Raw genomic sequence first — 26,541 nt, 5'->3', positions numbered from 1 at the left:
ACAGAGAGACCTCAAAAAAACAAAAACAAAGAAAAATTGCATCAAGTTAAATAATTTCAACAGAAATGGAATATACACCTAAAACCCTAATGACTTTTTTTTTTTTTGAGACAGAGTCTTGCTCTGTTGTCCAGGCTGGAGTGCAATGCACGAACTCAGCTCACTGCAACCTCCACCTCCCAGGTTCAAGTAATTCTCTGCCTCAGCCTCCCGAGTAGCTGGGATTACAGGCGCCTGCCACCACGTCCGGCTAATTTTTGTATTTTTAGCGGAGATGGGGTTTCACCATCTTGGTCTTGAGCTCCTGACCTCATGATCCACCTGCCTTGGCTTTCCAAAGCGCTGGGATTACAGGTGTAAGCCACCGCGCCCGGCCACTAATGACATTTTTTTTAAAGCTCTGAAGAGCTTTAAAGTTCATACCATCACTTACTTTGTCCAGTTTTCGTGACCGAAGTGCATGGGCGGCTCTGTGATATTGTGCTGTCAGGTAAAGACACTGAGCCAACCAATAGATGTCCTGGGGTTCTTCTGGAGGGAAAAATTCACATAAGTGGTCAGAGGTACAAGGTGAAATAGAAAACGAATTTTAAGATTAATCAGAAAACCAGTTAGCATTTTGTCACTTACCACGAGAGAGTGAAGCTACTTTATCTGCCCAAAATAGAGCACTTTGATACTGTTGCTGCATACCAAAAAAAAAAAAAGGTGGTAACTGCCCTGTTATTTTAATAGTCTTAAACAGTTATCTAATATTATTATAATTCTATGTAATATATTAATATAATTCTATGTAATAAATCTTCATCTCAAGACAACAATTTGTTACATCTCTATCTTACATCTCACGTAGGGTAAATTTTAGTTCAGTGTCGCAATACAAACATTCCTGTAATATCTTTGTATATGCAACTTATGAAGGTAATTTTTTAAAACTCATACACTGTAAAAATGTATCGTGAAACATACAAGTGAAATGCAAGTGAAACAGCAAAAGCTAGTCATTAACAATTCATGTGTGATTTATATAACACTTTCAACGAGCTGTTAATGAATCCCAAAGTGAAATTTAGAAGACAGAACACTATACTCAAATACCTTATATAACACAGTGGCAGTTTTAATAACACTCAAGTTTAAAAACACACACACATAAATTAACTAAGCTTCACTGAACATGGGGAAGAACTCACCTCCTCCAAGTCTAACAAAAATGAAGGAGCCGACAATGAGGGCCACCCACAGTGACCTACGGCTAGCTTTAGACCCTGTTCTGCTCCTCAGTCCTCAGTCTTCTACAGTCTCTGCCTCAGTTCCCCTGGAGACAAGCCAGGACCACTGCTGCTAGCCCGAGGCAGGAGGAATGCCAACGGGATAGTTATAAATATGCTCAATACCGGTGTCTCTGGCTGGAAACCGGGCCTGTCATATTCCTCACTACGTCTCCGTACCGAAGAAAAAGTGATCAGAAAACACTGAATTCAACTGACTCATGGTAAATAAAAACACAGCCCTCCAAATGGACTGCAAACATTTGGCCACGTCAGTTAGCACCCAATTCCGAAAACTCTGCATTACCATGGCTTTTCTTTCCCTTTCTTTCCAATTTCCTGAAAGAGCAAGCATTTCAACAAAAAATAAACAACAATATAGATAAAACTGATGCTGCTGATTCTCGAAGACACTTCTTGCCTTAAACGCTCTCTGCTATTCAAAGGTAGTGCAGAGAACACAGACATAGTTAACGAGAATTTTTAAAGTATTGATTTGAGACAACAGGCTTCTTCACATCTTTATTCACTTAAATTCAGCCCAGTAAAAATTACAACTAAACCTCTCAAAAATGTTTTATTAGCTAGCCCTGCAACTTTCCTCCAAAAATTGTCCTTCAACTTGCACTGAGTAGTCAGTGTTTCCTGGGCACCTCCTCCGCGCCAGGTGCAGAACGAGGCTCAGACCCGACTGAGGCGCCCCGTGCGCTCGGGGGCCTCCACTCCCCGGGCTGTGCCCCTCCCAGCTGCAGGGACCGCTCCCTTCTGGGCGAGGCGGAGACAGCGCTGCTGGCCCCAGATGAAGGCCCAGGGCCGGCCCAGTCCTTCCCCACCAAGAGCCCCGACAACAGTCACCCCAGCCCCACGCCGCGCGGAAAAAGACCCGGCGAGGCCTGGGCCCCGCACCCCGAGTCGGGGCCGCCCACCTGGTCGAGGTACTGCCGGACGCGCTTCCGCAGCCGCTCTAGGTTCATGGCGGCGCGGGCCCGGCCTCACGCCACACTCCGCCGCTAGGCGCGCGCCTCCTGCACCCTAAGCACCCCGCCCCGTGCCCGTGCCCGTGCCTGCAGCCGCCGCCGCCGCCCCAGGACTCGAAGGCCGCGGACTCGAAGGCCGCAGGTCCCCACCCACACCCGCACCCCCCACCCAGGCCCCGTGCACTGCCCAGGCTCTTCCGCTCCAGGCAGGCCCCGCCCCGGAAGTCCACAGCAAACGAATCCCATCTGGCGCGGGAAAACGGACCCGAGTTGTTGGTTCCGATGCCTCTCCTGGCACGTGGGCTTCTGGTTGCCTTGGGGCGAGAGCGCGGCCTCCCTGGAATCGCTGCGGCGCCTCTGGGCATTGGCGAGAGAGTCAGGAGGGCTCGGGGCCGGACCACCCACCCGGGCAAAAAAGCAGGTGGCTGCTGAGCCTTCTTTCCCCAGAATGTAGTCAACATTTTAAAAATAAGAGCAACGCACTCTCATTACAAAAAAAAAAAATTGTGTGCACAAACAGCAAATGAAGTCAAAGACAACCTAGGGAAAAATTTGAAACCTATCACAAAATTCGAATTTCCTTATAATGTAGAGCCAATATTCCCTTTACATATATGTAATAAGTCAGTGGGAAGAGACCAATGGCTCAGGAGAAAGACAGGCAAAAAACAGTTCACAGGGAAAGAAATGCAAATAGACTTTAACATACGAAAGAAAGTCCAACTTAATTCATAATAAAAATTAAAATTAGAGTACCACTTTTCATATGTTAACAAAGATCACAAAGGTTGATGACACTGCTAGCAGGAATGTCGGGAAGCAGGCACCCTCAAGTTTTGTGAGTGGTATTGGTATACTCTCTAGGATGAACGAATTGGAATATCTTCCAAATTTAAAGGTGTTCGTGCTGTTAAACCTAATGATTTTTATTTTGGGAAATATACCATGGATTTGCATTTTTGCATGTGTGCAAAATGACCTGTGGTTTCGTTTGTAATAGCAAAAGATTGCAGACAATTTAAACACCCATGAAGTATGGAACTGAGTAAATAGGTCATGATACGCTCACGTAATGGAATACTCGCTGGCTGTTCAAAAGAACAGTCAGCTTTGCATGGACATTGAACGATCTTCAAGATATAGTATGTGGGAAAAAGCAAGTATAGGATCGTGTTTATCGTATGCCTGCATTTGAGTAAAATACGAATTTAATGATAGGTAGAAAAATCCCTAAACTGTCCCAGGAAGGAAAAATGAGAAAACCGGCATAGCGCAAGGCCTCTGGAAGGAGTGCTGGAAGATGAGAGATGGTAGAAGTGGGAGAGGTACTTCCTTGGATATCTTTTTGTGCTTTTGAATTTCAGTCAATGTGCATATATTACCTTTTGTGAAATTAAATCATTCAAACTTAAAATAATTTAAACTTGAAGCTGTTGGAACTTTGAATTACCTGAGCCTTGAGGGGAATGTGGCTACGCGGCCTAGGTCATGCCACACCCAGCTGTAACTTCTGCCTTTTTCCCTGTAAACAATAAAGACCAAATGGCACCGGAGATAAGACCCCCTCAGATCACTACCCCTCCTCATGGAGTTATAACGCAATCTTCCTTCAAATACAGAGATCCCTAACCAATGGAACCGCTGCGGCGTGTGCCCCTGGTCTCATATGAGAACTGTGGTGATCCTGCTGGAGCTTCTGTCTCCGCCTGGTAAGAGAGACCTGAGCTCCACTTGGAAAGGCTGACCCCATTTGTCCAGGTGGCCATTCTCAGGCTCTGTGCTCAAATACACACTATATGTAATCATATTTCTGAATCTCAATATTAAGGTTGACACTTTTAAAAAGTAAATATAACTTTTATAAATATAAAAACCTAAAAGAGTAAAAAAAATTCAAAGAAGCAAAAAAAAAAAAACTTGCTGTAAAGAATCCCACCCACTCAAAAATTCTCTCACGCTACTGTAAGTAATCTGCCGTGTAATTTTCTATGTGTGTGTATACATATATGACTGGGTAATATTTTGAAGTTGTGTTTAAAAATTTGTCCCCCTGTATATTTCCTTTTCCTCCTCCTTTCCCACTTCTGCAAGCAGGCAGTAATCAACTCTGCTCATTAACTTGGGGCAGGCATGTGGTGAGGTGTGTTTTAAGCCATATTTTCAACGACTTCTATCCATTTAATGAGATTCCTAGTTAACCAAAAATGAGTGACTGAGGCAAATGTCTCCATCAGTAGAAGTCTGATGATGGGCCCGGGAAAAACGCAAGCCACAGAAGCATCAACTGTGCCATCCAAATAGGGTTATGGGGACTGGGTGTTTAGGAGGAGACGGCAAGCAGGAGGAAAAAAAGGGAGGGGTCCACAGTGATGCTCTGATTAGTGCTCAGTAAACCAACAATTTACATAAGATGAGGCAAACATCTGACAAGAGGGAGTAGAGGAAAGAGTTATGTAGCCCATATCAGGGTAGGCAGAAGAGTGACTAATCTCATCTTGTCCTTGTTTTGTACCTGGAAGGTAAATTTGTAATTAATATTGCCAGGGCGAGATTTAACAGAAATCACTTTCAGGAGTCCTCTGCCAGATACCCTAACTCATCACTCTCAAGTTCAAAGTTCCAGAGATCCCTAGAGCAGGGGCACAATGCTGCCAGGTTCTTTGCTAATGCACAGCAAAAGTGACCTTTGCTTCAGTTCCTAGTAAGTTTCTCATCTCTATCTGAGACCTTATCAGCCTGCCCATCTCTCCATATCACTATCAGCATTTGGGTCACAACAATTTAAAAGTCTCTAGGAAGTTCCAAATTTTCCCCCATCTTCTTGTCTTCTTCTGAGCCCCCCACATTTTTCCAACCTCTGCCCATTACCCAGTTCCAAAGTTATTTCCGCATTTTCAGGTATCTTCATACGAATGCCCCACTTTTCAGTACCAATTTTCTGTATTAGCCTGTTCTCACATTCCTGTAAAGAAACACCTGAGGCCAGGCCCGGTGGCTCATTCCTTTAATCCCAGCACTTTGGGAGTCCGAGGCAGCTGGATCATGTGAGGTCAGGAGATCAAGACCAGCCTGGGCAACATACTGAAACCCCATCTCTACTAAAACTACAAAAAATTAGCCGGGTATGGTGGCAGATGCCCGTAGTCCCAGCTACTCGGGAGGCTGAGGCAGGAGAGTCACTTGAACCCCAGAGGCGGAGGTTGCAGTGAGCCAAGATTGCACCACTGCACTCCAGCCTGGGCAACAAGAGTGAAACTCCGTCTCAAAAAAAAAAAAGATAAAAAGAAACACCTGAGACTGGGTAATTTATAAGAAAAGAGGTTTAATTGGTTTACTGTTCTGCAGGCTGTACAGGAAGCATAGCTGCTTCTGCTTCTGTGCAGGTCTCAGGAAACTTACAATCATGGCGAAAGGCGAAGGGGAAGCAGACACAACTTACCTGGCCAGAACAAGAGAAAGGGAGAGAGGGGGCAGGTGCCACACACTTTTCAACAACCAGGCCTCACAAGAACTCACTCACTATACAGTCCCAAGTAGAGGATGGTGCTAAACCCTTCACGAGCACTCCACCCGCACGATCCAACCACCTCCCACCAGCCCCACCTCCAGCAGCAATGGGCACTCCACCCGCACGATCCAACCACCTCCCACCAGCCCCACCGCCAGCAGCAATGGGCACTCCACCCCCACGATCCAACCACCTCCCACCAGCCCCACCTCCAGCAGCAATGGGCACTCCACCCCCACGATCCAACCACCTCCCACCAGCCCCACCTCCAGCAGCAATGGGCACTCCACCCCCACGATCCAACCACCTCCCACCAGCCCCACCGCCAGCAGCAATGGGCACTCCACCCGCACGATCCAACCACCTCCCACCAGCCCCACCTCCAGCAGCAATGGGCACTCCACCCACACGATCCAACCACCTCCCACCAGCCCCACCGCCAGCAGCAATGGGCACTCCACCCCCACGATCCAACCACCTCCCACCAGCCCCACCTCCAGCAGCAGGGATTATAATTCCACATGAGCTTTGGTGGGGACACAGATCCAAACCACATCACATTCTAATAGAATGACCTGGAGTCTCTATATTTGGTTAGATTTCTTGTGCTTTTCTTCCCTTCTATACCTGTAATAGCCTACAGCAAAATCATGTTTACTGATTTTAGAATGATGCCCCTTAGGTTTGTCAACCTTAGATAGAAAGATTCAGAAAATACGAGTTAGCATGGAGTTTATTTGAGCACAAGCCCTGAGGATGACCACCTGGGAGCACAGATTTGAATTTCCCTGAGTATGCACCCAACCAGCAGCAGGTACCTGGTTGGGGGCGGGGGGTTTAAGGAGGAAAGAAAGGGCAGTTCCTGAGTTGTTTATCAAAAATTTACATTAAAACAACGTAAGCTATTGATTGACTATACATTTTTCTTTGTCTCACAGACTCCAGAAACATGAAAATAATGGGTGACACAGCAGTCAGGAACAAAATGCCTTAAACAATTGCCCCTGTGGCATGGGGAGCAGAGTGACTGAAGTTAGTCCCACACTCATGTCCTGATACATTTTGCATCCTTCAAATAGTTCAGACTGCTCTGAGCTATTTTTCTTTCCTCAGGTTAAACCTTCCATCGTTGTATTTCCTCTACCACACTTACTAATTGGTTAAACTGATAGGGCTCATAAATATTGTGTATTACCTCACACGACAAAATGGACTTTGCAAGGGGTGATTAAGTTAAGATGGGTTATGTGGGTGGGTATGATGTAATCACAAGAGTTCTTACAAGTGAAAGAGGGAGGCCGGGGGGTCAGAGTCAAAGAGACTGGAAGACGCTACGCCGCTGGCTTTGAAGATGGAGGAAGGAAAGAAGGAAGAACAGTGAGCTGGGAGTGCAGGTGGCCTCCTGAAGCTGGGAAAGGCCAGGGACGGGATTCTCACCTAGATGCTCCAGGAGCACAGCGCTGCTGACACCTTGATATCCTGCAGAGACCCATTTCAGGTAGTGATCGGAGGTTAGCAAACAAAATTAGAACTCTGCCAAATGTGTACATGCCAGAGGCTGGCTTGTCTAACAGAAGACATTCTGTTTATTTTCCTCCCCTTACATTCTCTCCCAGTATTTGCCCTTGTTAAAGAAGCTAAAATTTCAGGACCCTCTAAAGTTACTACAAGGGGGAAGTTAAGCCCTGGAGACTGAGTCACAGAGCATGTTTGCAATTCTGCAATACTGAGTTTTGTGAAATTCAGTGTGTAAAAATCTTTGTTTTGTGGTTTTAAAAGATAATTCCGTCCTTAAACTAGTTCCTGAAATACGGTCAGGAAAACAAGACTTGGATTTTCAGTATGACCAGAATATTAAACATGCCAAGTGGTTTCTCAAGAATTTAAATTACTCTGAAAGGAAGAGAGAACAATCACCCTTCTCACTGATTAGAGTGAGGTGGTATTGTCGCCACAGGAGAGCAGTTTACAAAGTTAGAGAATTCTGTTGGCTGAAACTGCAAAATGTTGAGGCTTTGAAAGAGCAAAGGCAGTGATTAAGAAGTCAATGATTGGCAGATACGTCTTTGTTGTCATTTTACAAAGACAGTTCTCAAGTTTGGAATTAACATCTATCCAAACATCAAGTCTCAATTCATCTTGCATTTCTCCACACCCTGTGGCTGCAAATCTGCTCCAGCGCTGCCTTGGAGACCTGTCCAGGTGCACCTGGACGCCACAGACGGGGCCATAAGCGTCGCCTGCAGAGTTGGGCAGAGGAAGCTCAGAGCTTCCCCGCCGGGACATGGGCACCACAATAACACTCTTAAAAAGAAAAACCCTCTGGGTTAATACCTTTCCTTTGAATTAACCTCCATCCAGGTAAAAAATGATTGATAATTAATGTTTGTTAATTAAAATTGAGGCATTCTGTTGGCTTATAAATGTTAAGCTTCGTGGCACTTACTGATGTGGAAAATAAGACCCAGCAAGGCTAACTTACCTAAGCAAGTTCCCAAAGCCGCACCTAAAACCAAGTCCCTGAGCTGACAATGGCCTCTTGGGTGTTGTACCCATTTGTGAGTATACCTGGGGTTTTAAGGCAAAAGCAGGCTGTGGGGACACCAAGAACATCAGCCTGGGGTTTGCAGCTTCCCCACTCTCCATGCCTCTTCAGAGACAATGCCCTCTGGGTGGCAGTGATCGAGTTCTGCCAGTGCGGGGAAGCTCTGCGGGGTGAAGGGAAGCCTGGAGAGGAATCTGCCAGGCCTGGCGTCCCAAGCATCACCTCCTGAAACTTCAGTAAAAGGACTGGGAGGCTACGGGAAGCAAGCTGAGCCACCCGGACAGAGCATCCTGAGGTGCCGGACGCCTTTTCTTCCTAGCATCCTGTCCCACCACCCCCAGGACACTGCAACACTAGTCATCCTGCACAGGCTCCCGCTGCAGCTTCTCAAAGACTGCTGTCCACAGACACGGGTCCAGCCCCGTCGACATGAGGGTAACAGCCAATTCAGAAGTGTCATAATCTCTAGCTGGTTATCTGATTATCTTTTTAGTATATCAAATTAACTGAATAATGCCCTCGTTTTGTGTTAGGTGGATATGAACTTTGTCATGAGCCATGAAAGTGTTCACTGGTCTCAATTTTGATGTCAAATTTGGGAAAGCACTTTCTAGTACAAGTTGTTCTTCTGATTGACTCATCCACGTGTACTTTGGTCTCCTGTGCCAGTGTTCTGCCAGGAGCGGGTGACGGAGTGCAGATTGTGGAGGGCCCTGCGAACACAGGCTTGACGCCTGTGGAGGCCACAGTGGCGGTCCTCAAACGGACGCCAAGATGGAACTGAAGGATTTGGTTGAACCAGTGGATAGGGGAGGGAGTGGAGGTGGGAGAAGGCCCAGGGCATTCAGGGAATGCAAAGAAACCTAGTCTGGCTGGAACGCAGTGAGTGAGGGCCCATAAGATGAATGAGGAAAAGCTTCCTACAGTGATGTGTGAAAAAAACAACTGCCTCTGGATAGTTTGCAATGCTTACAGGTGTTGCTCAGTGTCAAAAATATTTTATTAACACACAGCTTGCTTATGCCAAGACATGTTATCATTATTGTCTGAAACATAGTGCTGAGGATAATTTTTAAAAATGACAGCAGTATATCACTGAAAAAAAGCAGGAAATCATCTAATCTGGAGATAGACACACACACACACACCCCCCACACTGGTGCACACCCCCCCACAGACACACTACACATCGCACACTAGTCCACACACACCACACACAACATACCACACCCCACATACTAGTGCAAACCCAACAGACATACTCCACACAATATACCACACACACACCCCACAGACACACACACCACACACTAGTGCACACCCCTCACAGACACACTACACACTGCACACTAGTCCACACACAACATACCACACACATACCCCACAGACGTCACACACCACACACTGGTGTACACAACACAGACCACACACACACACCACAGCCCCCCTGCCCAACACCACACATATAACTATGCTTATGAATTGCTGATTTCAGTGAATGTGGCACTTGGTGATTGGTTACATTCTTCTTGATCAGTCCTCCTTATTCTGAGTTACTTTGTATGTATTGAGAATTATACATTATTTTGCCACAATTTATGATTTGATGAAAATATTGGGAAAAACATGAGAAAGAGTGATGGGGTGTTGGAATTGTGGGCTCCTTAAAATTTCTCCTCAGCCTTGTAGAAAATGAGAAAATCTCCAAGTGTCTGGTTAATTTGCCTGGGTACTTCAGTCAGCCGGATCTTTTTTGTTTGTTTGTTTTTGAGACAAGATCTCCCTCAGTCACCCAGGCTGGAGTGCGTTGGTGTGATCTCTGCTCACTGCAGCCTAAACCTCCCAGGCTCAAGCAATCTTCCCACCTCAGCCTCCTGAGTAGCTGGGACCATAGGCACCACCACATCCGGCTAGTTTTTGTATGTTTTGTAGAGGTAGGGTCTCACTGTGTTGCTCGGGCTGGTCTTGAATTTCCAGACTCAAGCAATGCGCCCCGCCCCCCACACTCCCCCGCCGTATCAGCCTCCTGAGGTGCTGGCAGGTGTGAGCCACCGCCGGCCAGCGGCATCTACTTCACAGGACGTCCATTCTGGAGATCGCCACTAGTGGGCACCATTTCTCCACGCATCCATGGGCTTTTCTCCACGGTCCTTGTTAGCGGATGGCTGCTGGCCTGGGGCATTTCAGTTTTTGAAAGTCTCTGACCAGACATGCACTCATGCAGCGAGGGACTCTGAAGGTTGTCTCGAGGCCCAGATCACAGAATCTGAGAGGCAATGGGGCTTTACAGATGGATTCCCCAAGGGTTCCGTTTAAGGAGTTCTTTCCATTTCAGCCACTGTTTTGAGGGTCAATGCAATTTGTGGTTCCCCTTCCCCAACCTGTAGGTTACATGAAAACTAAATCTGGTCTTTAAAGAACTATTTATTGTCTACGGAGTTTTAGGACATTATAGTTACTGTTGAGGAGAGAAGACAATTAAACAAATACCAATACAAGAAAAGTCCTAGTTGGTAAATACTGAGAACTTTGCAGCTGTGTGAGCGTAATGACATTTCACGAGTGGCTCCAGCCCAGTGTGGCACGGCTTTGGCACATCTCCGGACCTGAAAACAAGCTCAGTGTAACATGGGACAGACGTCACAGTCTGCCGCCTGTGTCAGTCTTGCTGGTTTTAATAACGTTTCAATGTGTGTTTCCCTACCAGACCCATGTGCTGAACCCAGCTGTAGCTCACCAGAGTTTGCCTTCTTTGCTAAGCAAGCCTGCCCTCCAGGCTTGGCACCCATTTCTGAAACAGAGATGTTTCACAGCGTTAGCACCCGAAGGGCCTGGACTCCATCAGCTGCCCAGGTTGCATTTCCAGAACATTCCCTCACATCTGGAACTCTATCCACATCGCAACCAGAGGGGCCTACACGCCCCCTAAGGCCAAAGACATCACCCTTTTATAGTGGCCTCGTTCTTCTCTGAGACAGATGAGGTCTGGGAGTCCTGAGAGTGGCCTTGTGTGACCCTTCTGGTGGCAGCAGGGAAGAGTGTGGCGATCAAACTCGGCAGAGCCACGGCCAAAGGGCTGAGATGTCCAGCAGCCCCATGTCCCACTGACCTGGAGAAAACACACAGCAGCCACTGCTTTACCGACTTTGGCTTCACCACTGCAGGGTGGGGACCGGAGTGAGGCAGAGGAGGCGCTCAGGGCTCAGAATGAAGGAGGCTCCTCAGGTGAGCCCTGCATACCCTAGGGCAACAGCCTCCTGTTCTGCAGGGGGCACTCCCTTCCCCCACCCCAGTACCAGCCTGGGCCACGCCTGCAATTCTTATTCCTCCTTCTTTCTCCTTGTCCGTCCTCCCCAGTCCCCTCCCACTCCCCTTTTTGCCTCCCTCCTTCTCTTCTCCCTCCCCTCCCCTTCCACTCCCCCGGCTTCGCTTCTCCTCCCCTCCCCCTTTCCATCCCCCCTCCCTCCCCTCCCCCTTTCCCTCCCCCTCCTTCCCCTCCCCCTTTCCCTCCCCCTCCCTCCCCTCCCCCTTTCCCTCCCCCTCCCTCCCCTCCCCCTTTCCCTCCCCCTCCCTCCCCTTCCCCTCCCCCCTCCCCCCTCCCCTTCCTCCCCTCCCCTTTCCCCCCTCACTTCTCCTCCCCTCCCTAGCCCTTCCCCCTCCCCCTCCCTCCTCTGTCCTCCTCCTCCTCCTTCTGTCTCTTCCCCTCCTCTTCCACTATAGGACTACTTTTCTACCTTCTTTTCCCTTCTCCCTTCTTCTCTCCCTCCTTTATTTTCTTCCTTTCTATATTTAACACGTATTTCCTGTGTGCCCACCTCACACAGGATAGACAGGCTTCTGTCCTCACTGCTCCATCCATTATATTTATGATGGTTTTAAAGCATTTCAAAGTTCTATAGGTTTCAATTAATTTGATACCCAGAGTAACATGGGACAGACACATCTCTGGATCTGAAAATGCACCTGGTACTTGACTTTTCAGGTCATCAGAGCTTGTGGGTGGCTGGTTTTTACACTAAGGCTGCTGGCAGGATGCTCATTTGTCCACTGACTCTCTGAGCAAAGTCCAGAAGGGAAAAGAGCTGACATTATGGCTCTTCTGTGTAATGGCAAGATTTTGTCTACTTCTTGACTATGTGTAGCAATTTGTCAGTCTTTATAAACTGTTTGCTCTCTGGAAAGAGAGATTGAAAAGAGAACAATGTTCTCAGGACCAGACAGCAGCCTTTCTAGTTTTGTGATAGATCCTTTGACGTTCATTGCATTAGGGCCCATCAGGGAGGGCTGGCAGAGGCCAGGACTCCTACAGCACAACCCTTGTGGGGTGGAACAAGGTGGGGACACACAGGCAGGCACATTCGGAAAATGCTGCCAGAGTCAACCCTAAACTGCCACCTCGAAAAGGAGGTGCAAATTCGAGGCTTGCAAACCAAGGACACAAATCGCTATGGAGAGGCCATTTTTTCCATCAAGTTTAGCACAGACGTGGACTGTTAATGGAGGTCCTGTGCCCAGTTGCGCTTCACGACACAGGGGGGCGGGGCTGCCTGGAGAGGTCATGGCTGCAGTGGGCAGAGGCCCAGCTCCTCCCGGCCCGATGCCGGCATCTCAGGCTCCAGCACCACCTGCTGCACAGGAGAGGCTTCGGGAGGTCCACTCGGGGGATCAGCAGGAGACCCAGAATCCACATCCAGGCCTGTCTGACCCCACAGTCTGTGATTTTAAACACTGTCAATGGAAGGTCCACCCTGAGGAGCGGTGAGGAACCTGGGATTGCCGAATTCTGCATGGAGGAGCCGGAGGCAAGCTCTGCTATTCATGTCAAGTGTATTTTAAAGGGGCTTGTGCATAAAGGAATGAAATAAGGAATGAAATTAGCTGCTGCTTCTTTTTTTTTTTTTTTTTTTTTTTGGTAGAGACGGGGTCTCATCATGTGGCCCAGGCTGGTCTTGAATTCCTGGGCTCATGCGACCCTCCCACCTTGGCCTCCCAAACTGCTGGGAATGTAGGTGTGCGATACCATGCCCAGCCTGAAATTATCTTCTTATTTTCATTCAAACAAAACAAAACAAAAATTTAAATCTATAATATAGGTTAAAAATAGCAAAGAGTACTTTGGGAGGCCAAGGCAGACAGATCACCTGAGGTCAGGCATTCAAGACCAGCCTGGTCAACATGGTGAAACCCCGTCTCTACTAAAAATACAAAAATTAGCTGGGAGTGGTGGTGCATGTGCCTGTAATCCCATCCATCTCAAAAAATAAATAAATAAAATAAAAATAATAAATAAATAAATAGCAAAGAGTAGTTAGGGACCGTGACATTTCTGAGGGGCTAGCTATCAGCTCCATGAGGCTGAGACTACATATGCAGAGTTCTGTTGAATGAATGAAGGTGTGTGTGAGTCTTTTAACTCATTTTTAAAAGGCATTGCCCATGGGCTGATGTTCATTGTTGTGGAACAGCTTAGGCGGGATCTTACCTGGGGCTGATAGAGAACTAAGCAGATCCCAAGGGCTCTCAGACATACCCTTGATGTCTCCAACCGAGACTCTCTGGGTCCTTTTTTCTTTTCTTTTCTTTTCTTTTTTCTTTCTTTTTTTTTTTTTTTTTGAGATGGAGTCTTGCTCTGTCGCCCCGGTTGGAGTGCAGTGGCGCGTTCTCGGCTCACTGCAACCTCCATCTCCCAGGTTCAAGCGATTCTCCTGCCTCAGCCTTCTGAGTAGCTGGGATTACAGGTGCCCGCCACCATGCCTGGCTAACTTCTTTGTATTTTTAGTAGAGATGGGGTTTCACCATGTTGGTCAGGCTGGTCTCGAACTCCTCACCTTGTGATCCGCCCACCTCGGCCCCTCAAAGTGCTGGGATTACAGGCGTGAGCCATCGTGCCTGGCCCTCTGGGTCTTTTTTATATCTTAGGTTATGTATTCTGGAGTCAAGCTGTAGTTTCATCACGTTCAAAAATTTTAATCTGATTTATTTAGATATTTGTTAAAGGAACAATCACAGAGCTTTTAAGGTAAGTTAAAAATCCACCTAGGAATTATAGACAAATCCACCACAGCTCAAAATACAGTAACAGAATAAGTCTTCATAGCTAGAGAAAACAATCTAATTCAAACCCTCACCTCCTAACATGACTCTGCATAGTTTGTTTCCAGTTATCAGAGTCCAAGAAGCACAGAAAATAGTTTTGCTGCGTCATCTGCTCGGGCACATTGTTGAAACACCGTTTGAGGAGCTGCCTCCTGGGCACTTCACAGCTGCTCCGGCTGTGATAACAGTGAAGAGAGGAAGACAGCGGGGCTGCCCTGGCCCCGGCCCTGGGCAAGGCTGATTCCCCACACTGCCCTGAGACCGCTGGCTGTGTTAGCCTGGGGGAGCTCATGGCTGGCCTTGTGGGTCTTCCTTGTGACTCCCTCATCACACTTGTCTTCTTTCTGGATTTGTGTTCTGAATCCTTACCCTTCCTCACTTCTCTTTTAGGGTCCAGGCTTGGCTGTGCGCTTGCTAATCCAGTTTCACTTCCTGCTGGATTTAAAATACATATTTGAAACTAACGCTTTCTTAGGCAAGAACAAGAAACTATCAACTTACTTGGGAAATGGAATATTTCAACTCATTGACAAGTCTTTACTTAGAATTAAACATACAATTTTTAAAATAACAGCTTTATTTAGATACAATTCTATACCCCTTTATAGTGTATATTTTAGTGTGTTTTGGTATATTCAGAGTTGTGCAACTATTGTCACAATATAATTTCAGAACATCTTCATCACCTCCCCCTCCAAAAATCAAACTCCTTTGGGATCACTCCCCAATTTCCCTTCCCCCAGCCCCGACAACCACTGATTACTTTTTGTCTCTTTGAATGTGCCTATTCTGGACATTTCATATAAAAGGGATCAGACAACATGCGGCATTTAGTATCCAGCTTTTTCACGGAACATAATAATGTCTTTAAGGTTTATCCATTCTGTAACTAGTATCATTCCTTTTTATGGTAGAATAATATTCCATTCTATGGCTATACCACGTTTTATCTGTTCATCAGTTGATAGACATTTGGGTTGTTTACACCTCTTGGTCATTGTGAACTGTGCTGCTATGAACATCAGTGTATGGGTTTTTGCATGAATGTATGTTTTCAAGTCTCTCGAATATAGACCTAGGAGTGGAGTTGCTGGGTGATTTGGTAACTGTTTAACTTTTTGATGAACTACCAAACTGTTTTCCAAAGTGGCTGCACCACTCTTTTTTTTTCTTTTCATTTTAAGTTTGTGTACCTTTTATTTCATTTCCTTTTTTTTTTATTACACTTTAAGTTCTAGGGTACATGTGCACAATGTGCAGGTTTGTTACATATGTATACATACCACTGTTTACCCCTACCAGCAGCCTATGAGGGTTCCAGTTTCTCCACATCCTTATTGTAATCTACCTTTTGATTGCAGACAAGTTAGTGGCTGCAAGTGACATCTCACTGTGGTCTTCATTTGCATTTACTAATAACATTGAACATCTTCTCATGCACTTATTGGCCATTTGTATATCCTGTTGGGAGAAATCTCTATTCAAATAATCAGATAACCTTTTGTCAGTTTTGTTGTTAAACATCTTTCTGAAATGCAGCAAAGTACTTTTCCCGGAATCAGTAAACTGAGCCATGTTGGCTTGTTGCTGGATGGTAAAGGGCCTTCAGGAGGAAAAAGGAAAGAAACTCAAATTTATCTTTTGCCAAGTAAGTGTGAGTCACTTTTTTTGTTTTTTTGTTTTTTTGAGACGTAGTCTCGCTCTGTCGCCTAAGCTGGAGTGCAGTGGCGCGATGTCGGCTCACTGCAACCTCCGCCTCCCTGGTTCAAGCGATCCTCCTGCCTCAGCCTCCTGAGTAGCTGGGACTACAGGCGCACGCCACTACACTCAGCTAATTTTTGTATTTTTAGTAGAGACGGGGTTTCACCATGTTGGCCAGGATGGTCTCGATCTCCTGAAATCGTGATCCGCCTGTCTCGGCCTCCCGAAGTGCTGGGATTACAGGCATGAGCCACCATGCCCAGCCAAGTGTGAGTCACTTTCACAGTCATTTTTGCAAATGTTATTCACTTAACCCTGACGTGAGGTCCAGGAGGTGGTTCCTGTCCCATCTTTAGAAGCGAGAATGGGGCTCCCCGAGGCTGAGCTTTTGTCCGAGATGATGGTTGGAGGCCAAGGAGCTCAAAGCCAACTCACATCCATTGTGTGTCCTGTGTCAACCTGCACTGAGTCAGCCGATTATTTAAACAGCTAATTTTGCTCCTGGAGATCATTTGTGTTTGTTTAATTTTTGCTTCTTTCTCATGTGCAGGAGTTATTGGGGTTGGGGCACTAAATTAGAGCAATGCATACTTCCAGTTAGCTGGGGGCTCCAGGAAGTGCCAGGATGGCCAGTGGGTTTTGTTGGATAATCTTATATAAATCCTTCAGTAGAAACAGGTACAAAATTATTATCTTCTCATTTTGGAGTTAGGGATAAATGACTTGAAGGGGTAAGGAGGATGGAAAATTGAAATCCTTCCTTTAAAATGTTTGAGAAATTTTGCGAGTTAATATTTAAACCAGATTGAGATATCCAGGAGACTAGCAGTACAGCCTCCGTCAGGTGAAGCTTTGGGGCAGAGGAGAGGGGCCTGGGCTCTGGAGAGCAGGGAAGGGGTTCTCTGCCAGTGTCATGAATTTCTGGGACTATAAAGGTAAAGTGATGTGTCCCATCCATGCGAGGCCAGCGAAGATCCCAGAGCAAAGATCCCGGATCCCAAAGGTCTGGCAGCTGGCCGAACCATAGGGAGGTGGTCCAACAGCAGGTCAAGGTGGCCGCTGGGCCCAGGAGGGTCTTCTGAAGGCTGTGTTTCAGGTTTCTGGTCTCATAACACTTAGCATTTTTCTTTCCTAAACCTACAGTTTTCAAATAAATTAACTTTGTTTTTCTTTCTAAAATGAGAAGACGTGTGTGCCGTGCTCCCTCGTCGCCAGCTTGGTACGTGGCTGGTCTGTTTCCAAGGTGGGGAAGCACCACCGAGAGACGCATTCACGTTCCAGTAGTTCAAAACTGCAGACCCCATGGCAGAGAAGGGGACTGAAGACTGAGGTACCCTATGGCCCTGGGCCCATCGCCTCCTTCCTCCCTCACACACAGGAGCCAAAGGCCCTAGGAGCTTAAAGATGCTGCTGAGAAAGCCATCTTCTTGGGACACACAGACCATAATTCCAGCTTGAGGTTCAGAGACAATGAGTCGTTTCCCATGTTTCCCGTTTTTGTCCAGGTACAGGGCAGTGGGGGAGGCATGCCTCGGAGCCAGTGTCCTGCAAGAGCCTGCCCCTCCCCAGCTCTGTCTTGGAGCCTACACTTGAACCATATTGCCAAAGCTGGGGACTTCAATAAAGTGCAGTGACTGGTCTGTGGCTGCAGGAAACTCTTTCTAGTGCTTCTGTTTTCCCTTTTTTTGTTTGACTTTATCTTAACATTGCTTTTGTGGTGGGCTTTATCTGTTTCCTGTTACATAAAGCAGGAAGAATAAGAGAGCCAAAGAAAGTAAATGAAGTATAAATTTGAAACATTGGTTGCAAGCACTGTCTTGACATTTGCTGAGGAAAAACTCAATAGTATTAATATAAGAGGAGGAAAAGTAAGGAAATGAAAACAAAAGAGCCAGAAATGAGAACAAATACAATATACTTATGTCAATACATATAAATGGATAAAACTGAGCGGGGAAAGCCTCTGGGACTAGGTTAAAATGCAAAATTATGCTATTCTGTTTATGAGACAATATAAAATAAAATGACCCAAAGATATTAAAAATAAAATGATGTAAATTTGTTTGAGTTCTTTGTAGATTCTGGATATTAGCCCTTTGTCAGATGAGTAGATTGCAAAAATTTTCTCCCATTCCGTAGGTTGCCTGTTCACTCTGATGGTAGTTTCTTTTGCTGTGCAGAAGTTCTTTAGTTTAATTAGATCCCATTTGTCAATTTTGGCTTTTGTTGCCATTGCTTTTGGTGTTTTAGTCATGAAGTCCTTGCCCATGCCTATGTCCTGAATGGTATTGCCTAGGTTTTCTTCTAGGCTTTTTATGGTTTTAGGTCTTACATTTAAGTCTTCAATCCATCTTGAATTAATTTTTGTATAAGGTGTAAGGAAGGGATCCAATTTCAGCTTTCTACATGTGGCTAGCCAGTTTTCCCAGCACCATTTATTAAATAGGGAATCCTTTCCCCATTTCTTGTTTTTGTCAGGTTTGTCAAAGATCAAATGGTTGTAGATGTGTATTATTGTTTCTGAGGGCTCTGTTCTGTTCCATTGGTCTATATCTCTGTTTTGGTACCAGTATCATGCTGTTTTGGTTACTGTAGCCTTGTAGTATAGTTTGAAGTCAGGTAACATGATGCCTCCAGCTTTGTTCTTTTGGCTTAGGATTGTCTTTGCAATGTGGGCTCTTTTTTGGTTCCATATGAACTTCAAAGTAGTTTTTTCCAATTCTGTGAAGAAAGTCATTGGTAGCTTGATGGGGATGGCATTGAATCTATAAATTACCTTGGGCAGTATGGCCATTTTCACTATATTGATTCTTCCTATCCATGAGCGTGGAATGTTCTTCCATTTGTTTGTGTCTTCTTTTATTTTGTTGAGCAGTGGTTTATAGTTCTCTTTGAAGAGGTCCTTCACATCCCTTGTAAGTTGGATTCCTAGGTATTTTATTCTCTTTGAAGCAATTGTGAATGGGAGTTCACTCATGATTTGGCTCTCTGTTTGTCTGCTATTGGTGCATAAGAATGCTTGTGATTTTTGCACATTGATTTTGTATCCTGAGACTTTGCTGAAGTTGCTTATCAGCTTAAGGAGATTTTGGGGTGAGATGATGGGGTTTTCTAAATATACAATCACGTCATCTGCAAACAGGGACAATTTGACTTCCTCTTTTCCTAATTGAATACCCTTTATTTCTTTCTCCTGCCTGATTGCCCTGGCCAGAACTTCCAACACTATGTTGAATAGGAGTGGTGAGAGAGGGCATCCCTGTCTTGTGCCAGTTTTCAAAGGGAATGCTTCCAGTTTTTGCCCATTCAGTGTGATATTGGCTGTGAGTTTGTCATAAATAGCTCTTATTATTTTGAGATACGTCCTATCAATACCGAATTTATTGAGAGTTTTTAGCATGAAGGGCTGTTGAATTTTGTCAAAGGCCTTTTCTGTATCTATTGAGATAATCATGTGGTTTTTGTCATTAGTTCTGTTTATATGCTGGATTACATTTATTGATTTGCATATGTTGAACCAGGCTTGCATCCCAGGGATGAAGCCTACTTGATCATGGTGGATAAGCTTTTTGATGTGCTGCTGGATTCGGTTTGCCAGTATTTTATTGAGGATTTTTGCATTGATGTTCACCAGGGATATTGGTCTAAAATTCTCTTTCTTTGTTGTGTCTCTGCCAGGCTTTGGTATCAGGATGATGCTGGCCTCATAAAATGAGTTAGGGAGGATTCCCACTTTTTCTATTGATTGGAATAGTTTCAGAAAGAATGGTATCAGCTCCTCCTTGCACCTCTGGTAGAATTCGGCTGTGAATCCATCTGGTCCTGGACTTTTTTTGGATGGTAGGCTATTATTGCCTCAATTTCAGAACCTGTTATTGGTGTATTCAGGGATTCAACTTCTTCCTGGTTTAGTCTTGGGAGGGTGTATGTGTCCAGGAATTTATCCATTTCTTCTAGATTTTCTAGTTTATTTGCGTAGAGGTGTTTATAGTATTCTCTGATGGTAGTTTGTATTTCTGTGGGATCAGTGGTGATATCCCCTTTATCATTTTTTATTGCATCTATTTGATTCTTCTCTCTTTTATTCTTTATTCAACCCCATCAAAAAGTGGGCAAAGCATATGAACAGACACTTCTCAAAAGAAGACATTTATGCAGCCAACAGACACATGAAAAAATGCTCACCATCACTGGCCATCAGAGAAATGCAAATCAAAACCACAATGAGATACCATCTCACACCAGTTAGAATGGCCATCATTAAAAAGTCAGGAAACAACAGGTGCTGGAGAAGATGTGGAGAAATAGGAACACTTTTACACTGTTGGTGGGACTGTAAACTAGTTCAACCATTGTGGAAGACAGTGTGGCAATTCCTCAAGGATCTAGAACTAGAAATACCATTTGACCCAGTCATCCCATTACTGGGCATATACCCAAAGGATTATAAATCATGCTGCTATAAAGACACATGCACACGTATGTTTATTGCAGCACTATTCCCAATAGCAAAGACTTGGAACCAACCCAAATGTCCATCAATGACAGACTGGATTAAGAAAATGTGGCACATATGCACCATGGAATACTATGCAGCCATAAAAAAGGATGAGTTCATGTCCTTTGTAGGGACATGGATGAAGCTGGAAACCATCATTCTCAGCAAACTATTGCAAGGTCAAAAAACCAAACACCGCATGTTCTTATTCATAGGTGGGAATTGAACAATGAGAACACATGGACACAGGAAGGTTAGCGTCACACACCGGGGCCTGTCGTGGGGTGGGGGGAGTGGGGAGGGATAGCATTAGGAGATATACCTAACGTAGATGACAAGTTAGTGGGTGAGGCACACCAACATGGCACATATATAGATATGTAACAAACCTGCACATTGTACACATGTACCCTAGAACTTAAAGTATAACAGAAAATAAATAAGTAAAAAATAAAATGATGTCTGAAAACAAGCCGGGAGGAGGGCAGTGGAGGTGACAATGTGGATAAAAGCACTGAGATCCCTGGAGAAGGAGTGTCGCAGACACAGACAGGCTGGGAGAAGCACACCTGTGGGGCTGTGATTTCACAAGGGCAAAGCCAGCAGAAGAGGTGGGAGGCTCTGGGAGGCTCTCATGCACGAATTCAGTCCACTAGTGAGATTGTGACTTGTGTACTTAGACCCAACATATAGGAGGTGCTGACTCTCATACCTAGAAACAAGACATGTGCGGGATTGTTAAATCTCATCCCCAAAACTTCCTGCAGGTTTGACTTTGACATAAGCCTCTGCCAAGCACCTGAGCAATTTGACTCTCCTACCTGAGCCCAGCCCACAGATGGAATTGTGACACATCACCACAGTGATCTGTCATTGTGAGAGAGAATAGTGAGGGAGAAAGCGTCTCACCTGTAGTCAAAGAGGGACAGCATCAAAGCAGACACTGCTTTTGGCAGTGAAATGAGCAAAGAGTGCCCCCACGGGTAACCCTTCATGTTGGTGAGGACATGGGAAAGCACTGCTACAAATCTCTGGAGAACAATTTCTATGAAGTGTGAAGAATAGAGTTTTTGACATTGTAAACTGATTTTTAATAACTTGTAATAAACTGAAAAAATAAACATTGATCTCTAACTTGCACAATACACAAAAATTCCATAGTTATTAAGTTCCATATTTACTAAAAACTGAAAGGTAATCAAGAAAACTTATAGTATTAGAAGAGAATACAGGAGAATACTTGCATAATCTTAGCTTGAGAGAGCCCTTTCTGTGTATGGCACACAGACCAGATGCCATAAGGGAAATTATTGATGGATTTGACTACCTTAAAATAAACTTAGGTGAATTGATAAGTAATAATGTGGAAGAGATACTTATGACATTGATAATAGAAAAAAGGTAAATATTGATAACATATACTTACTATAGATTAATAACGAAAAGTAACATATGATAAGAATTTGGTCAAAGGCTATGAACAGACAATTCATACAAGAAGAAATCAGATGGTCCAAAGTTTAAAAATATATTTACTACCCAGGGTTGGCAAAATTATGAGGAGACAGACACTTTGGGACCACTTTAAGCAGAGGTGAAAATTGCTAGACTGTTTGTGGGGGGCAATTAGGTGGTATCCATTGAAAATCTAAATGTGCTTACCTTTGATTTAACCATTTTCCTTCTAGGAATATAAGTTACAGCATAATTTTGTGTAAAGATACATATGGGTTAAGATGATCATCATAGTTTCACTTGGAATATCGAAAAACTGAAAACAACCTAAATTTCAATAATTAGGGGACTGATTAAATAAATTAAGGCAAATCTGTATAAAATATTTTGTAATTGCTAAAAAAGGAATGAAGAAGACTTTCATGTATGGAATGAAACTATTTGTATGATACATTATTGAGTGAAATGAGCAATTTACAGAAAACTACGTAGAGTAGGACTCCATTTTTGTTTAAACAAACAAATATGGCCGGGTGCAGTGGCTCATGCCTATAACCCCAGCTACTGAGGAGGCTGAGGCAGGAGAATCACTTGAACTTGGGTGGCAGAAGTTGCAGTGAGCCAAGATCGCGCCACTGCACTCCAGCCTGGGTGACAGAGTGAGACTCCATCTCAACAAACAAACAAACAAACAAAACCTCAAATATATGTACTTGACAAATAAAAATCAAAGTTCACATGCAAGTTGCTAACAGTGATTACTTCCAGGGGCTGCCATCCAAGAGAAGACTCCCATGTTCCTTACACCCTCTATACTGTTTGACATTTTATGGTTTACAGAAAGCAAATATTAGCTTTGTAGTTAAAAGATTTGAGAAAATTGATTGGACTTGAAATGTTTAAAATTTCAATGTAAATTGCAAAGCAGACTAGATTTTCTGAATGCCTTCAGAGTTAGTAGCTGCTTAACAGTCATGCGTCTTTGCACAGGTACTTGTTCTCTTCACTCTTCGGGATTCTATAAGAGATGTCCAGCAAGCAGCAGAGCTGGGCTTACGATGTTGTACCAAGCATGGAAGGAAGCACTGCAAAGCTGACATCAGCACAAATACCTGTGGAAACTGCAGGGGGCAAGGCAATGAGGTGCTACTTCAAGTAGGTGCGCAGGGGTAGAGCCTGTGATCCTAGAACTTGTCCGGGGTTGGGGTCTGTGGTTCTGAAGCTCGTTCAGGGTTAGGGTTAGGGTTAGGGTTAGGAGCTTGTACACGGGTGGGGTCTGTGGTCCTGGAGCTTCCACAGGGATGGGGTCTGTGGTCCTGGAGCTTCCATAGGGGTGGGGGTCTGTGGTCCTGGAGCTTGTCCAGGGGTGGGGTTTGTGGTCCTGGAGCTTCCATAGGGGTGGGGTTTGTGGTCCTGGAGCTTGTCCAGGGGTGGGGTTCGTGGTCCTGGAGCTTCCACAGGGGTGGGGTCTGTGGTCCTGGAGCTTGTCCAGGGGTGGGGTCTGTGGTCCTGGAGCTTCCACAGGGATGGGGTCTGTGGTCCTGGAGCTTCCATAGGGGTAGGGTTCATGGTCCTGGAGCTTGTGCAGGGGTGGGGTTCATGGTCCTGGAGCTTCCACAGGGGTGGGGGTCTGTGGTCCTAGAGCTTGTCCAGGGGTAGGATCCGTGGTCCTGGAGCTTCCACAGGGATGGGTTCTGTGGTCCTGGAGTTTCCATAGGGGTGGGGTTCATGGTGCTGGAGCTTCCACAGGGGTGGGGTTCATTGGCCTGGAGCTTGTCCAGGGGTGGGGTCTGTGGTCCTGGAGCTTCCACAGGGGTGGGGTCTGTGGTCCTGGAGCTTCCACAGGGATGGGTTCTGTGGTCCTGGAGTTTCCATAGGGGTGGGATTCGTGATCCTAGAGCTTGTGCAGGGGTGGGGTTCATGGTCTTGGAGCTTCCACAGGGGTGGGGTCTGTGGTCCTTGAGCTTGTCCAGGGGTGGGGTCTGTGGTTCTGGAGTTTGTGCAGGGGTGGGGTCCATGGTCCTGGAGCATTTATTTAATCTTTGGTGTCTACATATTTTTCCTTATGATGGGCTGGATTTTAAGGAAAGCAATCTTCCACATTATAATGGTCCACAATATAACGGTTATATATACAGGTAAAGCGAGTGATGGAAGATCTTTAAAACTCTTTAATTAATTTGATTTATTGGGGATATTTATAAGCAGTATATTAATGACAAAATTTAAATCTCATGGTTCTTCCTTTACAATTACAATTTTGTCAATTTGAATAAAATGAAGAGAGTTTAGAACTTAAATTGTGGGACAAACTCAAATTTTTAACTCTTTCCATTTTGGATTCTGTGGGACAGCTAATTCAGGATCATCACATGATTTCTTTTTTTCTTTTTTCCTTTTCTTTTTAATTTTTATTTTATTTATTTTGAGACGGAGTCTCGATCTGTTGCCCAGGCTGGAGTGCAGTGGCAAGATCTCGGCTCACTGCAACCTCCGTCTCCTGGGTTCAAGTGATTCTCCTGCCTCAGCCTCCCGAGTAGCTGGGATTGCAATTTTGTGCCACCATACTTGGCTAATTTTTTGTATTTTTTTTAGTAGAGACAGGGTTTCACTGTGTTAGCCAGGATGGTCTCCATCTCCTGACATCGTTATCCACCCGCCTTGGCCTCCCAAAGTGCTGGGATTATAGGCATGAGCCACCATGCCCTGCCTCTTTTTCTTTTTTTAATAGAGACAGTGGCTCACTATGTTTCCCAGGCTGGTCTCGAACTCCTCAGCTCAAGCGATGCTCCTACCTCAGCCTCCCAAAGTGCTGGGGGTTATAGACGTGAGCCACTGCGCCTGGCCAACCTGATGTTAATGATGTTGTATGCATACTATCTGGCTAAGTTATTTTCACCAAATCTTTCTCTCACAATCTACAATCAATCAGCTGAGCTTATTTTAATTTCCTCAACTTCGTGAACAAATGCGTGGTGGGTGAGGTCATCAGCTGAGTGACTGTTTTGCATCTCCTGTTACAGGATGTGACCATTTGACATATCCTTGCTGACAATTGAACAAAATGCTCTAATACGGCAAAGAATGAGTGAGTACATAATTCTGATGAATCTGATGAAGTAAAACGGGAAATTTCAAATAGCTATGGATTTTAGATGAAAAAGAAGGTGCGGGTACCTTTTTGCTAGGCGTATCTGCTGTCTCCAGGGAGATTCCACACCAGCACCCGGGACTTCTCAGCCCTGCCCCAGTCTTCACACCACCTTTGAGCTCCATACCATGGTTCTGAGTGTGTGATTCCTTCCAGAATGGCCGTGTTTTCTTCCGCACTCTGCGAAGTTCCTGTTCTCTCTTCCCCCTGTGCAGACTCCACGAAAGAGCACACACATTTTGAAATTTGGATTTTATTAAGGCTGCCATTCCCTCCACAGGGCCAACAGGCTCCAGAGCAGGAAGGGGTCCCGGGGTGGAGGGTTGCTCCTGCTTCCCACTGAACCAACATTTAAGAAACCGGTTCTCCAGGTGCTGGAGTGGGAGCTGCTGGCTCAGAGAGGAGCGAAGGGCACACTCAGCCCCGGCGCGCTCGCTTTGCACGGCGGGAGGGGCGTTTTCAGGGTGAGCACAATGGGGCACAGCGGGGAAGTCTCCCGGTGCTTCCTGAGCGTGGTCAGCAGAGCAGATGCTGGACAAGATGAGTGGGAGAGAGTGGGGTCCCAGGCAGGGAGGGCGAGCACCCGGGCACCCATGGCGGAGAGCAGGGTCCCAGGCGGGGAGGGCAAGCACCCAGGCGCCCATGGGAGAGAGGTGAGGGAGGTTGGCAGGGGTTGGATTTTGGAGGGTCTAGCAGTGCACAGAGTCTGGCACATGTGGAAGACAGTGTGGAGCCACTGAATGGCTTCAAACCAGACTCCGCAGGCACTTGAGAAAGACCCCTGTGGACAGGCTGGGGCTGGACTGGGGAGCATGAAGTGGGAGGGAGGGGCATCGATGCCAGCCCACTGCAGTGGTGAGATGGGACCGGTGAAACCTGTTCAGGAGGCTGCATTGGATGGAGAGGGAGCCATGGGGGGCTGCGGAAGCGCCTAGAGTAGGGGTTTGACCCTGGCTGTGGAGCACAGAGGAGCACGAAGTAAAGAACCCACCAGGGTTAGGGCTGAGAGTTTGGTGAACTAGGGAGATTTGTGGAAGCAGGGAATAATGGTGGATGGTTGGTGGCCTCCTCCTGGAAGTTCACCATCACCCTCTGGAGACTTGTTGGGCACTTCCTCTGTGCCAGGCACTGTCCTGTGCATATTTCATTTCATTGGTGACAGATTGCATCTGTTGTTTTGGAAAACCATAGCACACCATGTGCTGCAAGATGCATCTCCATCTCAGAGCCATTAAAGTGTGTGTGTGTGTGTGTGTGTGTGTGTGTGTGTGTATCAATGAAATGTGCTTCTCTCATTTAACCCTGGGAGTGACCTGAGAGGGAGGCACTGTTGGCAGCC

The 26,541-nt window shown here is 45.8% G+C and overlaps 2 protein-coding genes across 24 annotated transcripts in view, besides 5 other annotated features; both read right to left on the bottom strand.

Moving 5' to 3' along the window:
• The window catches only part of CDC16 (cell division cycle 16), a 37,827-nt gene extending 35,394 nt beyond the window's left edge, over positions 1-2,433 (bottom strand). For 11 of the 20 annotated variants that reach the window (XR_001749714.3, XR_245358.3, XM_011534853.3 and 8 more), the window contains exons 1-3: positions 2,198-2,433; positions 631-685; positions 434-531 (exon numbers count right to left, since the gene is read on the bottom strand). Coding sequence is in view for 15 of the 20 variants with exons in the window: in XM_011534853.3 (XP_011533155.1) it covers positions 434-531; positions 631-685; positions 2,198-2,245 (201 nt within the window). In the remaining 5 variants the exon portion in view is untranslated. The remainder of the gene's footprint in view (positions 1-433; positions 532-630; positions 686-2,197) is intronic. The other 9 variants (NM_001330101.2, XM_047430755.1, NM_001318518.3 and 6 more) reach the window with 2 other exon arrangements.
• Positions 2,115-2,474: a silencer, noted in NCBI's record as "silent region_5558". NCBI's record gives its function as "represses an Ori minimal core promoter by ATAC-STARR-seq in GM12878 lymphoblastoid cells {active_cell/tissue: GM12878}" and the evidence as "EXISTENCE:reporter gene assay evidence [ECO:0000049][PMID:35858748]".
• Positions 2,585-2,634: an enhancer, noted in NCBI's record as "active region_8061". NCBI's record gives its function as "activates an Ori minimal core promoter by ATAC-STARR-seq in GM12878 lymphoblastoid cells {active_cell/tissue: GM12878}" and the evidence as "EXISTENCE:reporter gene assay evidence [ECO:0000049][PMID:35858748]".
• Positions 8,497-8,998: an enhancer, noted in NCBI's record as "H3K27ac hESC enhancer chr13:114993807-114994308 (GRCh37/hg19 assembly coordinates)". NCBI's record gives its function as "activates a minimal SCP1, AML or CMV promoter by ChIP-STARR-seq in naive H9 embryonic stem cells {active_cell/tissue: H9 hESC(naive)}" and the evidence as "EXISTENCE:reporter gene assay evidence [ECO:0000049][PMID:30033119]".
• Positions 10,262-10,556: a silencer, noted in NCBI's record as "tiled region #1096; K562 Repressive DNase unmatched - State 8:EnhW". NCBI's record gives its function as "represses a minimal TATA promoter and a strong SV40 promoter by Sharpr-MPRA in K562 cells {active_cell/tissue: K562}" and the evidence as "EXISTENCE:reporter gene assay evidence [ECO:0000049][PMID:27701403]".
• Positions 10,286-10,515: an enhancer, noted in NCBI's record as "active region_8060". NCBI's record gives its function as "activates an Ori minimal core promoter by ATAC-STARR-seq in GM12878 lymphoblastoid cells {active_cell/tissue: GM12878}" and the evidence as "EXISTENCE:reporter gene assay evidence [ECO:0000049][PMID:35858748]".
• The window catches only part of CFAP97D2 (CFAP97 domain containing 2), a 43,829-nt gene continuing 31,532 nt past the window's right edge, over positions 14,245-26,541 (bottom strand). Inside the window, exons 4-5 of one of the 4 annotated variants that reach the window (NM_001437370.1) lie at positions 25,229-25,418; positions 14,245-14,832 (exon numbers count right to left, since the gene is read on the bottom strand). In NM_001437370.1, the coding sequence (NP_001424299.1) occupies positions 14,812-14,832; positions 25,229-25,418 (211 nt within the window). In that variant the 3' untranslated portion in view covers positions 14,245-14,811. The remainder of the gene's footprint in view (positions 14,833-25,228; positions 25,419-26,541) is intronic. The other 3 variants (XM_047430025.1, NM_001395230.1, NM_001395229.1) reach the window with 3 other exon arrangements.

Source organism: Homo sapiens, chromosome 13 (assembly GCF_000001405.40).
Source record: "Homo sapiens chromosome 13, GRCh38.p14 Primary Assembly".
NCBI lineage: Eukaryota > Metazoa > Chordata > Mammalia > Primates > Hominidae > Homo > Homo sapiens.
The sequence above is the reverse complement of the archived record's forward strand: the minus strand, read 5'-3'. Positions and strand labels throughout refer to the sequence as shown.